This window comes from Homo sapiens, chromosome 1 (assembly GCF_000001405.40).
Source record: "Homo sapiens chromosome 1, GRCh38.p14 Primary Assembly".
NCBI classification, from domain to species: domain Eukaryota; kingdom Metazoa; phylum Chordata; class Mammalia; order Primates; family Hominidae; genus Homo; species Homo sapiens.
This window is the reverse complement of record NC_000001.11, coordinates 37,668,126-37,681,569: the sequence shown is the minus strand read 5'-3', so window position 1 is coordinate 37,681,569 and position 13,444 is coordinate 37,668,126.

The window sequence follows — 13,444 nt, the reverse complement described above, 5'->3', positions numbered from 1 at the left end:
TTTAAGTGTCAAGTCTTATGTTGGGCTCTGGGGACAGAAATAAAAGAGAGCCCTAGAAAGGCTCACAGTTCCACCAGGGAAAGATTAATGTGCAAATAAGTCACTGATATCTTGTTAAAATTTGGATTCTGATTCTGTAGGTCTGGGATGGGGCCCAGATTCTGCATTTCAAACGAAGTCTCAGCTAATGGTCCAAGGACCAGACTTTGGATTGCAGAGACTTAAGTTGTAATACAATAATAAAAGTGTTATAGTTAAGGTAAAAACAGGTGCTGTGGGAGAATAGAGATGATAACTAATTGCCTGTGGAACTCCTTCTTGATGACAGTGACATTTGAGGTAGGCCTTGAAGGGAATTTTACCTGGGGCTAGGAGAGGGGTGCGGGGCATTCCATGCACAGGGGATAATCTAAACAAAGGCCATGTTTGAGGCAGGATGGAAGCCAACACTTGACGAAAGCTAGCTGTGTGCCAGGCATTGTGCTTGTTGCCTTTACCCTCCACAACTGGCAAATAATAGTTCAGTATCACAAATAACAAGTTCACAGATGGATAGAAGGATGGCAGGAAGTGGGTCAGTAAGGGTGGACTGGAACCAAATTGTGAAGAGGATTATGAGTCCCAGCTCAAGCGTTTGTATTTTGCTCTACAAGTGGGAGATGCTCGCTTATGTGTATGCATGTGTAATAAAGAGGTTTTTAAACCTCCCTCATAGAAGCAAGTAATGGCTAAGTAGAAACAAGCACGTTTATGGTGCTCAGTAATAACTATATAGTATTTAAGTATTGTTTTTATTTTGTTCCCTCTTAGCTTTGTGTCTGTTAAAATGCCATATTTTTCATTGTTCTTTTTAAATTTAAAATAAAATTTATTTTTTTGAGACAGAGTCTCACTCCCACCCAGGCTGGAGTGCAGAGGCACAATCTCAGCTCACTGCAACCTCTGCCTCCCAAGTTCAAGCGATTCTCCTGCCTCAGCCTCCAGAGTAGCTGGGATTACAGGTGCTTACCACCATGCCTGCCTAATTTTTGTATTTTTAATAGAGACAAGGTCTCGCCATGTTGGCCAAGCTGGTCTCCAAATCCTGACCTCAAGTGATCTGCCTGCCTCGGCCTCCCAAAGTGCTGGGATTACAGGCATGAGCCACCACACCAAGCCTGATTTATTTTTTAAGTGATATATCAATATTGTAAAATAGGTATGCAAGAGCATATTTAGGCTGGGCACAATGGCTCTTGCCTGTACGAGCACTTTGGGAGGCCAAGGTGGGAGGATGGCTTGAGGTCAGGAGTTTAGACTAGCCAGACAACCCTGTCTTTATGAAAAAAAGAGCCAGGTGTGGTGGTGTGTGCCTGTAGTCCTAGCTATCTGCGAGGCTGAGGTGGGAGTTTCCCAATTCCCTTCCCTGAAGGCAACCAATATTGAATGTTTCTAGTGTATCTTTCCAAAAATACTATGCCTGTGTGAGTGTGGTGGGTAGGTATCCTCAAAGACAGCCCCCAGTGCTCCCACCTCTGGTATTCTTGCCCTTGTGTACTCCCCTCTCCTTCCAGATGGGCTGGACTGACAGATATACTTCTTTTTTTTTTTTTTTTTGAGACAGAGTCTCGCTCTGTCACCAGGCTGGAGTGCAGTGGCGTGATCTTGGCTCACTGCAATCTCCACCTCCCGGCTTCAAGCGATTCTCCTGCCTCAGCCTCCCGAGTAGCTGGGACTACAGACATGTGCCACCACGCTCAGCTAATTTTTGTATTTTTTAGTTAGAGACAGGGTTTCACCATGTTGGCCAAGATGGTCTCGATCTCTTGACCTTGTGATCTGCCCCCCTTGGTCTCCCAAAGTGCTGGGATTACAGGCGTGAGCCACCGCGCCCGGCCACAGATATACTTCTGATGAATAAAATACTACCCAAGTGGTAGGATGTCACTTCTGAAATAGGTAAAAAAGACTGCAGCTTCCATCTTGGGTGCTCTCTCTCTCTCTCTCTCTGGGATCACCCACCCTGGGGAAAGGCAGCTGCGATGCTGTGAGGCAGCCATGTGGAGAGGCTCATGTGAGAGACCAATGCCTGCCAACAACCATGTGACTGAACTTGGAAACAGATCCTCCCTCCCACAGTTGAACCTTCTGATGGGTCCACAGCCCCTGCTGACAGCTTGACTACAGCCTCTTGAAGACCCGACCCAAAGGCAGCCAGCTAAGCAGTGCCCGGATTCCTGATCCATGTAAACTGGGATAATAAATGTTTTAAATCACTAAGTTTGGGGGCCATTTGTTCCACAGCGATAGATAATCACTACAACAAAAAAACCTCCCTTCATTTTTATATAAATGCTAACATACCATATACCCACTTTTGCACCTTGTTCTTTCTTACCGTATCTTGGAGTTCATTCTATATAAAGAGCTTCCTTACATTGTTTTAAACAGTTGCATAGATTTCTGTTGTGTGGGTAAACCATAATTTACTTAAAATAGCTCCTTAGGGTGGACATTTGTTTCCAAAGTCTTAATACCTATTGGTTTTTATAGTAGCAACCCGCCTGTACTCCCACTCTTGTTCATTAGGCCTCCCCTCCACCACCTGGAATTTTCCATTTAGCTAACCCCATCACCTTCCAACAACAAAAAATAAATTGTCAGTATTTTTTACTAGAATCACTAAATTGATAAACGAATTCAGGGAGAGTCACCACACTGGGAATACTTCTGGTGCTCCTCCTTTATGTATGCCACTGGCTTATGGATGAAGACACCAATGTGAGTTCTGTTCTGTTTTCCCTCAGCTGGGTCAGAACCCCTTTCTCTGTCAGTGTAAGACAGTCTTGGGATGAAATGAAGAATTTTGGTTTCCCTCTATCCTGTCCCTCCCCATCCACATCTAGAAACTGACCTTCAGATTCTTCTCTCAGAGTAAGTGTTGTCTCAAGGTGCTGGGGTGCCTGGGCCCTAAAGAGAAGGTCTCCTGCTTGCCCAAGGAGAGCCTGGGCTTTATGGGGACTGTATTACACCAGACTTTAATTGGGACGAGAAGCCAGGTACCTTCCCAACCTGCTCAAACACTGGATCATTTATAATTCCATTTCCCTATGAGAAGGGAGGAAGAGTGCACATTTCAGGGAGCAGGTTTGGGGATGAGGGGAAGGAAGGAACCTAGACCTGGGTTCAAGTCTCAGGCTCAGCCTTTAGCCAGCTGTGTGATCTTGGGCAAGTAATTTCCTCTAAGTCTATTTCCTCATCTGTATAGTGGAAGTGATGATATGTCCTTACAGGGTTGTAAGGTTTAAGCGAGAGGAGATAGTGAGGGCTTTGGGTACATTTGTGAGCATTTAAGGGATTGAAATTCACTTAAGCTTTATTAGTCACTCACTAAGTGTATAGCTCTGTGCTAGGCTCTTTAATATCTTTCTAAACCCTCAACGAGAATTGAAACAAGTATGCTTACTTCCATTAGGTAGATGAGGAGACCGAGACAGAGACCTGGTAAGCTTTCTAAATGCCCACAGCTTGTCAGTAATGTTGCCAGAATTTGCACCAGGGCTTGCTTGGTTCCGGTGAAAGGTGCTTTCCCCCACATCACTGTTGCCTTTCTGCCACAGAAGGCAAGAGCATGCCTAACATCTACTCAGCTGTAACAAGGGTGAGGTTTTCTGATACCCAGCCCTGCACAGGACATGGATCCTGCAGTGCAGAGCTACCTCCATCCAACTTGGCCGTGGCACATGAAGTATCCAAGCCTCTTCCAGGACAGCCGCAACCTTGCCAGTTACCCTTCCTTCTGACCCCATAGCCAAGAGGGTTGGAGCAAATCCTGGCGTGGTCTACCAGAGTCCTACACTTTTGCCTTTGATGCCAGGGCCTGGTAGGAGAAAGCCAGTGATTCTGAAGGAATGACAGGGGTACCCCTTCCAGGCACTGTCCTCCTCCCCATCCTTCCTGGAAGGCTCCTTCTTGGTTTCCACGTAGAGCAAAGTCATTTTTCCGAGACTGTAGGGCCCCAGCCCAGAGATTCTGGTCTAGTATGTGTGGGGAGGGGCTAGATATCTGCATCCTTAATAAGTACCCTTAGTTCAGTTGCAGAGTCATTCCTTAAGAAAGAGCCTTCATCCTGAGAAAAGGCAGCAGTTAGCACAGAGATTGATGGCTGGGTAGACTAGCCACAAAGACCGCACTTCTCTGGGGAAGAAACGCCTTCATAACTCCCTCACTGCACCTCTTTTCCCCTTTTTGTTGCCAGTCCTCAAGTCCAATGGGTACCTCGGCATTGCTCCCCTGGCCCCTCCATGCTGTTTGGGGTGGGATAGTCATAACTTATGTATATGGGGCTTTAGAGTCTGTCGCATCCATATCCATTCATTCTGAGGCCTCCCAGTGTGCCCAGCACAGAACTCATCATTAGCAATACAGAGGTAAATCAAAGAAGTCCATGATTTAGTAGGCCAGGCAGATCTGCAAGCTCTTCGTGAGAAGTGCTATTGTGAAGGATGTGTGGGGAATGCAGTGGATGGAGAGAGTGACTGATTGTTTTTGTGGGTTTTTGTGGGAGGCGAGATAGGGGAATGTGAGACTAGCTCCTCTGTGACTTAATTTCAGTGAGAGTCTTCCCTCTGGTCTCTAGTAGAGTAAGTGATGGGGGTGGGGGTCAGCCTGGCCTGCTGGCCATCATGTGAGCGGGGAGCAACCCTTTCTGCTCTGGCTCATCTCTTCTGATTGAAACGTGTGGAGCAGTTCTTAATTTGCACAGAGAGCCCAGACTAATAAATCCGCTACTCAATTGCAATTCCCACAGTGCGTTTATAGGCAACAGCTGACTTTTATCAGCTAGTTTGTTCTTTCATATAAGCAGAGTTTTATGAGGGTCTCCTGAGCTGGCTTGTAATGTGATGAAACGTCTGCAAAACTCAACCATAAATTCCTGGCACCTGCCAAGCAGAGGATGCTGTTTTCCAGGCACATTTTGTCCAGCTGGCGGCTCTGTCCCCTTGCCCAGTTTGCATTTTTGCACTTGTCTCTTTAAACTTGGATTTGTTTTTCAGTTCTCTGCGGCCTCTTTAAAGGCAACCGAAAAATGAGGGGTAGGAAAAAGGAACTAGAAAGTTACGTCTGTGCTAAAAATTACCCCTGGCTTATGTTGCTCTGAAAGCCAGTTTTGATCCCACTGTTGAAACAGAGACATCAGGCTTCCCTGCCACATGAACCCCAGGGCGGGGGACAGGAGGCCAGTGCCAGCCGAGCCCGTTATTAATACTTTGATTCTTTTCTGGGCCATCACCCTTTGTACTTGCCAAAGGCCCCTACCCTCAGTTGTCAGTTCTGTAAATTAAAGAAACAGCTCCGGAGGCCTTTTCCCCAGATGGTCTCCAGGCATGACATCTTTTCCCAGCATTTAGAGCTCCCCCAACACAGAGAGATGAAATTTAAATGCCCTCTGTCCTCCAAATAGGGCGAGACCTGGACTCTTGGAGAATGCTGTTTGGCTGGGGTGGACTGGGTCATTGGGAGAGCTACAAAGGCCTCAGTGGTGCAACTAGGAATGGTTGAGTGTGGCCCTGGCTGTGTCTCAGGATTACCCACCTGTGTTTATGGGTTCTCTTCATTTTGATCAGACCATTAGGTCAGAAGGCTCCTGTGGCTGCCCTTCCTGTGGCCTTATCCCCTGCTTGCTTTCCCTAGCCCACACTTCAGGGCTGGCTTCATGTGCCTGTGACCCACACTTACAAGGGTTCCCAAGGTTGGTTTCATGCTCTGCTGTCACTCTCGAAATTCTAAACAGTTTTCGAATGATTTTCCTTTGGCACTGGGCCCTGCAAATTATGTTGCCAGTTCTGCCCAGCTTCTCTCTGGTCCTACTGCTTGTAGCTGCCCCAGCACTGTGGACAGACCCTTTCTTCTCCAAGTTGAAGTTTGAGCCTTTGCAGAGCAGGTTAGTTACCCGTCATTGAGGCCTCTGGCCTTGTCCCCCTCCCAAAGGCTCCCTGTTATCCACTCTTCTGGCTACAGGCAATCCCTATTACGTGACAGTATCTCCACAGGCCCTAAAGAGGTGCCTGTCAGTCCCAACTCCCTAAGTCATCTGCAGCTGCTCCTGGCCCCTTCTTATCATTTTCCAGAAAAGATTTCTAGTCAATGCACTCTGCCTGGAAGAAGCTGCCTGCTCTTATGGAGGAGCTGGGGTCTTTGCTAGAGAAAACATCCCCTAACTGCCACCTCCACCTCAAAGGCAAGACATTGTTTCCTGCTACGGGAAAGAGACCCACTTTCTTATTTTTCCAAGCCCCACTCAGACACCATCTCCTTTTTGTTATCTCTTCTTACACCCCTAGATGAAAATAACCCTTCCTTTCTCAGCACAGTACTTGTACTTCCCTTTAACACTTAATTTTTAATTTTTTTAAAAAATGTAGAGTCAGGGTTTCACCATGTTGTCCAGGCTGGTCTTGAACTCCTGGGCTCAGGAGATCCACCTGAGCTGGGCTTGGTGCTTTGGCTCACATCTGTAATCCCAGCACTTTGAGAGACCGAGGCGGGCAGATCGCTTAAGCCCAGGAGTTTGAGACCAGGCAGGGCAACATAGTGAGGCTCCATCTCATAACTAACTAAATAAATAAATAAAAGAAATCTGCCTACCTTGGCCTCTCAAAGCTCTGGAATTATAGGCGTGAGCCACCACACTCGGCCTATTTTTTTTTAAATTTAAATCCAGCTCCTGCAGGATTTTATTTTTTTCTTATCCATTCTTATATCCCTACCAGCTCAGCAAGGGGCTCAGCCCCATTTGGGAATTGACCCAAGTGGTAGAAATGGTGCAGGGGCCTTTGCAGCTGCATGGCGTGGAGAAGGTGGGCTCTGCTCTACCCAGTGGGATGGTGCAAGGGGTGGCAGTGGTCTCTGACAGAGCTGGCTGGCTGCTGATAGCCATGGCCTCCTGTAAAGCTGCGGTATCCTAGAAAGATTGTGAGCTTCGGCAAAATCCTGTCTCCACCCACCTAGGATGTGGGCCTTGTGTTTTGCCGCTCTTACCTGTAAGATGAGTATAAGAAGACCCGACTCACTGAGCTATTTTGAAAATGAAATGAACTAATTCATTCAAACCACAGAGGATGAAGCCCAGCACCCAGTAGGTTCTTAATTAATTATAGGTTTTATCCTCCCCCTGGAGGAGGACTTGGGATTGAGGCCCATTTCCTCCTCTGTCAGGTGCCAGCTGGGCTGAGGGTGTAGTCACTGGCCACCTAAGAGCTAGGCTGGCTGATGGAAGTGAAACAAGGCAGAAGATGACCCCATCCCAGCAGCAAAGACCCACAGGCCAGGCTGGGCAGAGCATCCTCCCTTTCCCAGACCGCCTGGCTTGGGTTCCCTGGCAAGGCTGGCGGACCTAGATCCACCCGGCATTGCCACACTGGCGGAAATGGTGGTTACTGTTCGAGCCAAACCCTGGGACTGTGGCGACAGCCCTGACGGAGGCCCAGCCACCACATCAAGGACACGGCTCCACCCTCCTCTCAGCATCCCCTCCCACCTCAGGCTTCCCCGCCTCCCTCCTTCCCAGAGAACCCAGGGTGTAACCTCTCCTTGAGGCCAAGGTAAGCCACAGCCCTCTGTGGCTGCTGCTGTGTGGTGAAGGTCCTGGGCAGGGAGTCGGGACATCAGAGTTCCTGACTCAGCTGTGCCACTCCGGTGGGACCTGAGCGTGTGACTTGACCTCTCTAGACCCCAGGGTCTTCATCAAACAAAGAGGGCGGGTAGGCAAAGGTTTCAACATACAGCTGCTGCAAAAATGAAATGGGCTAATGCACGTAAAAGAGCTTGAAATCAGAGCTGGGCGCAGTGGCTCACATCTGTAATCCTAGCACTTTGGGAGGCTGAGGCGGGAGGATTGCTTGAGCCCAGGAGTTCAAGACCAACCTGGGCAACATATCAAGACCCTGTCTCTACAAAAAATAAAAATAAAAAATAAGCTGGGTGTGGTGGCGTACACCTGTAGTCCCAGCTACTTGGGAGGCTGAGGTGGGAGGATCACTTGAGCCTGGGAGGTCAAGGCTGCAGTGAGCCATGATTGCACCACTGCACTCCAGCTTGAGTGATAGAGCAAGACCCTGTTTTTTGTTTTGTTGTTGTTGTTGTTGTTTTAAACTTGAAACCATATCATAGAAATGGAAGCGATTTTCCTCTGAGAAGCAAAAGGATTTGGGAGCCAATAAGAATAACACTATAATTGCCACTTCTGGAAGTTTCTCAACTTCATGCTTACTCCTAACGCTTTCACATCCATTAAACAACCCTGTGAGGCAGGTGCTATTTCCCCTGTTTTACAGACAAGGATGCTGCTTTGGGGGGTGTGGGGGTCAAATGACTTCTCAAAGGTCACATAGCCAATCTGAGATTTTAACTCTGATAGGACTCTAGGCAAATCACCTACCGTCTCTGTGCCTCAGTTTCTTCTCCTGTGCAATGGACACCATTATTCCCCTCTCAGAACCACTGTGATGAAATGAACCCATGTGTGAAAAGCACCTGGCACAGTGCTGGGTGAATTTTCTTCTTTTGCTTGGAATCAGGAATTCCCACTAGGTATCTTAGCCTTAAGAGCTGCTTTGGGTTGGACGGTGGCTGACTCCAGACTTTCTGGGGAGTTCTGGTGATCGCTTAGTGCAGGAAGCATTGCCCAGGTGGGAGCACAGGTGTGTCAATTCCTGGCTACACTTCAGCGCCCAGGCCAGCAACGTGAGCCTCCTCCTTGCCTAGGGGAGTCTGGGGACCTGCATCATTTCTATCTCTGTCCACTGAAATCATCATTGTTCCCTGCAAGTCTCCAAAGCTCCAGAATCCTGCATCACAGCAAGGGGGAAAATGCTCCCAGTGCGGCAAGCCGTGCAGACGTGTTTGAGAGAATAACCAGTGCCATCTGTGCAAGCGGCCCATCCCATCTCTTTGATCCACAGCCTGGGACCAAGGAGGGTAGTTCTCACCCACAGAGAGCTGAATAGCTTCCTCCGTCCAGTTGCCCTTGGGCCTGGCTGCCTGGTCCAGCAAGACAGAGTTGTCCTTATTTATATCCTGTGTAACTCTGGTCCAGTGAGGAATAAACAGTCTCTCCATCAGTGAGGATTTAAGAATCTAGACCAGTGGTTCTTTTCTCGGCTACGCATTGAAATCATTTGGAGAACTTTATAAAACACTGATGACTGGGTAGACTCAGGTTCACCCCCTGAGATTCTGGTTTAATTGGCTCTGGTTTAATTGGCTGGGATGCAGGAATTTAAAAATCCCCTCCCTCCCTCACAAGTGATTCTAATAGAGAGCAATGGCTGAGAACAGCTGCTTTGATACAATTCATTCATTTAAAGATCTTTGACACTGTGTGTCAGGCACTATGTTGGGTTCCAAGGTGAACAAAAGAATCTGGGTTTTGTCCTCATGGAGCTTGCATTCTAGTGGGGAGGAACAAAATAAATTAACAAGAAAACAATTTCAGATGGTAATAAGTTCTATAAAGACCATGCAAGCCGGGCACGCGGCTCACACCAGTAATCTCAGCACTTTGGAATGCCAAGGTGGAAGAATCACTTGAGCCCAGGAGTTCAAGACCAGCCTGAGCAACATAGGGGGACCCTTGTCTCTATAAAAAGTAAAAAAAAAAAAAAAAAAATTAGCCAGACTTGGTGGCACACAACTATGGTTCCAGCAATGCAGGAGGCTGGGGTGGGAGGATCACTTGAGCCTGGGAGGTCGAGGCTGCAGTGAACTGTGGTTATGCCACTGCATTCCAGCCTAGGTGAAAGAGCAAGACCTTGTCTCCAGAGAGAGAGAGTCGGGGGGAGGGAGAGAGAGACAAAAATGCAAGTAGCAATGGGATACAATGACTTGAGGAGAGGGTGAGGGGGCAGAGAGGCTTTCTGAGGAGGTGACTTTTGTGCTTAGACCTAAATGAAGTGAATAACGGGGACGTGTGGATCTGGTGCAGCTGTGCTCAGTGCCATCTGAGCACTCTAAGACCCTTTCAGGGGTTTTGCAAGTGAAACTTTTTATGATACTAAGATGCTATTTGTTACTCTCATTCTCTCACCAGTCTGCAAGGAAGTTTTCAGGTGCCCTGTGATGTATGATGATGTCATCGCTCTGACAGCTAATGGGATTCGTTCTTGAGCATTCTCATGTTTGGGTTTTTTGTTTGATTGTTTTCTGAGACCAAGTCTCACTATGTTGACCAGGCTAGTTTAGAACTCCGGGGATCAAGCAATCCTACTTCCTCAGCCTTCCAGGTAGCTGGAACTACAGGCGCACCCCACTGAGCCTGGCTTGTATTCTGTTTTTAAAAATTCTCAAATTTAATTTCTATGTTGGTAAATAGTGATGGCTATAACCCATATAGACACAAACAGACATTCTTTGGAGTCATCAATTTTTAAAAAATTTTTTGGAAACAGGGTCTCACCCTGTTGACCAGGCTGGAGTACAGTGGCACAATCATAGCTCACTGCAGCCTCAACTTCCCAGGCTCAAGTGGTTCTCCCTCCTCAGCCTCCTGACTAGCTGAGACCACAGGTGCACACCACCACACCTGGCCGATTTTCTTTTTAGTAGAGATGGGGTCTTGCTATGTTGCCCAGGCTGATCTTGAACTTCTGGCCTCAAGCAACCCTCCCACCCCCGCCTCCCAAAGTGCTGGGACTATAGGCCTGAGCCACCACTCCTGGCCTGGAGTCCTCAATTCTTTTTTCTTTTTGACCTCCCGGGCTCAAGCGATCTTCCCACCTCAGCCTCCTGAGTAGCTGGGACTATAGGCCCTCCTAAGTAGCTGAGACTACAGGTGCACACCACCACAAGTGGTTAATTTTTGTAGTTTTTGTAGAGATGGGGTTTTGCCATGTTTCCCAGGCTGGTCTCGAACTCCTGAACTCAAGCCATCCACCCACCTCGGCCTCCCAAAGTGCTGGGATTACAGGTGTGAGTCACCATACCCAGCCCCTCAGTTCTTAAGAGTGTAATAGAGTCATGGGACCAAAAAGTTAGAGAACTGCTGATCTGGCAGGAGAGCCTTCCAGAGAGTCCGGGGGTGGGACCAGCTTGGTATATTCAGGGAAGTGCAGGAAGGCAGGAGGACTAGAATGAAGAGAGAAAGGGATGGAAGCAGATGAGGTCAGAGGGGAAGGCAGAGACCAGATCTGCAGGAACCTAGAGGAGGAGGATTTCAGGCAGAGAGACTGGGAGGCTGTCCAGATGTGAGATACCAGACCAGGTTATGGTGATGACAGTGGAGATGGAGAGAAGTCGATCCCAGAGATATCTGGAAGGTTGAATTGGCAGGACCTGGTGATACATTGGATGTAGGGAGAGTAAAGGCAGATGGCTCCAGTTTGCTGGCTGTTGAACAAGGCAGGGGACAGGTGGGGGATGGGTGGGTGGGGGAGACAGAATATGAGACATGGGGTGGAGGACATCTGCTGGCTTCTTAGATGGGTTTGGAGGCCACTAGAGAAGTCAGGGCTGGAGTGAGGATCAAGCTTCGGGAGAATGTGTGCAGAGAGAAGGAGAGGCTTCCGAGGGGCTTTACTGGGGAAGCCCAACCTGCATGATGTTGCCCAAGGAGACGGCAGAGAGGGTGAGAGGAGAACCAGCAGGTACTGGGGGGCAGGAGCCAAGGAAGGAGACAGAGGAAGGAAGAAAGGGAGGAGGGGAGGGAGGGAGGGAGGGAGAAAGGAAGGAAGGAAAGAAGGAAGGAGGGAGGGAGGGAAGGAAGAAAGGAAGGAAGGGTTTGAGGTGATAAAGGTACAGAGGGAGGGAAGTAAGGAAGGAAAGAAGGAAGGAAGGAAGGGTTTGAGGTGATAAAGGTGCAGAGGGAGGGAAGGAAGGAAGGAAGGAAAGAAAGAAGGAAGGAAGGAAGGGTTTGAGGTGATAAAGGTGCAGAGGGAGGGAAGGAAGGAAGGAAAGAAAGAAGGAAGGAAGGAAGGAAGGTTTTGAGGTGATAAAGGTGAAGAGAGGACATGTAGGATGAGGACAGGTCCATACAGGCTGTGGCCTCTGTAAGAAGAGTTTCTTGGAAGTGGGGGCACAGCAGCTAGTTTGCAGTGGGTTGAAGGGTGAAAGAGATGAGGATATGGAAGTGATGCATGTAGAAAGCCCTTTAAGAGGGAAAGGAAGAAGGCAGTAGCTTGAAGCAGATGCAGGGGGCAATTTGGAATGGAGGAGACAGGACCCTGTTCTGTCGGCTGAGGCGCAGAAGACAGCAGCATGAGAAGGGATGGTTGATGGCACAGAGTGCCCGAGCACAGGTGGAGAGGCTGGCTTAGGACCAGGGCAGGGAAGGACGGAAACCTGACAGTGAGTTTGAAGGGTGGGAGTGTCTTTGGGGTGGCAGTTAAGAGGCAAGGTCATTTGCCCAGGGATACCAGGGTGGCGCGGAGGCTCCAGGGGTGGGGAAGGTAGGGAAAGGCCCCTAAGGATGCTGGATGAGAAAGATGCTGGGCTCAACAGCAAGCCTGGGTTTGGGACTTTCTGTCCCTCACCCATCATGAACCTGGTGGGCTCAGAAAATCCAAAGAGCTCCTCACATCTTCCCCAAATGTTTCCCAGTTATCTTCTCCATGCTGGGAGGAGATGGATGGAAGAAGTGTGGGAATGAGCTTTCTGACTTGTTGTGGGGAAACAGGTGCCCAGTGGAGAAGAGGAGCTCTCACAACGCTTCGGGAAGCAGCCGGGATCATAACACGGATGTCCTGGCTCCCTGAATCCTAACCACTGGGCAGCCATGCCTGGAGCAGGATCATTTTGCCCATCCCCATGTGGGCTTCCTCTCACCCACCAGCCTCATGGTTCTGGACTCTTTCTTCTTTTTTGCCTCCTCACCACTCCCCACTACATCCCATCCCAGCATAGAAGTCCCCAAGATGGTGGTACTGTCCAAACATCTCATGAATCTGCCCTTTCCTCTCCCTTCTCCCTGCCTGGACAATTGCTGGCCTCTGCCTCCAACCTCTCTCCCTCCAGTACACCCTCTGCCAAGAGGATTGCTCTGACATGGAAATCGAGCCATGTTGTCCTCTTGCCCCAGAAGACCTTCAGAGGTTCCCTGGGTCTTCAGCCTGGTGTCCAAGGCCCCTCGTGAGCCCCTGAGCCCCTCATCTTCCCCTGCTCTGCAATATGCCCTCCTCTGCCCCATGCCTTTGTCACGGGGGATCTCTCGCTGGGGATGCCTTCTCCCTTCATCCATCTGGGGAGGTTCCGTTCACCTTTCAGTTTAAACATCACCTCCTCTATGAAGTCTTCCTTGACCACCATGTCAAGTCACCTCCCTCATCCGAGTCCCCAGAGTACAGTAAATCCTCACTTAACGTTGTTTGTAGGTTCTTGGAAACTGTGACTTTAAGGGAAACAACATACAGCAGGTCCTCAAATAACAGCATTTTGTTTCATTCAATGTCCATGAAGAAAATATTGGTTTTGT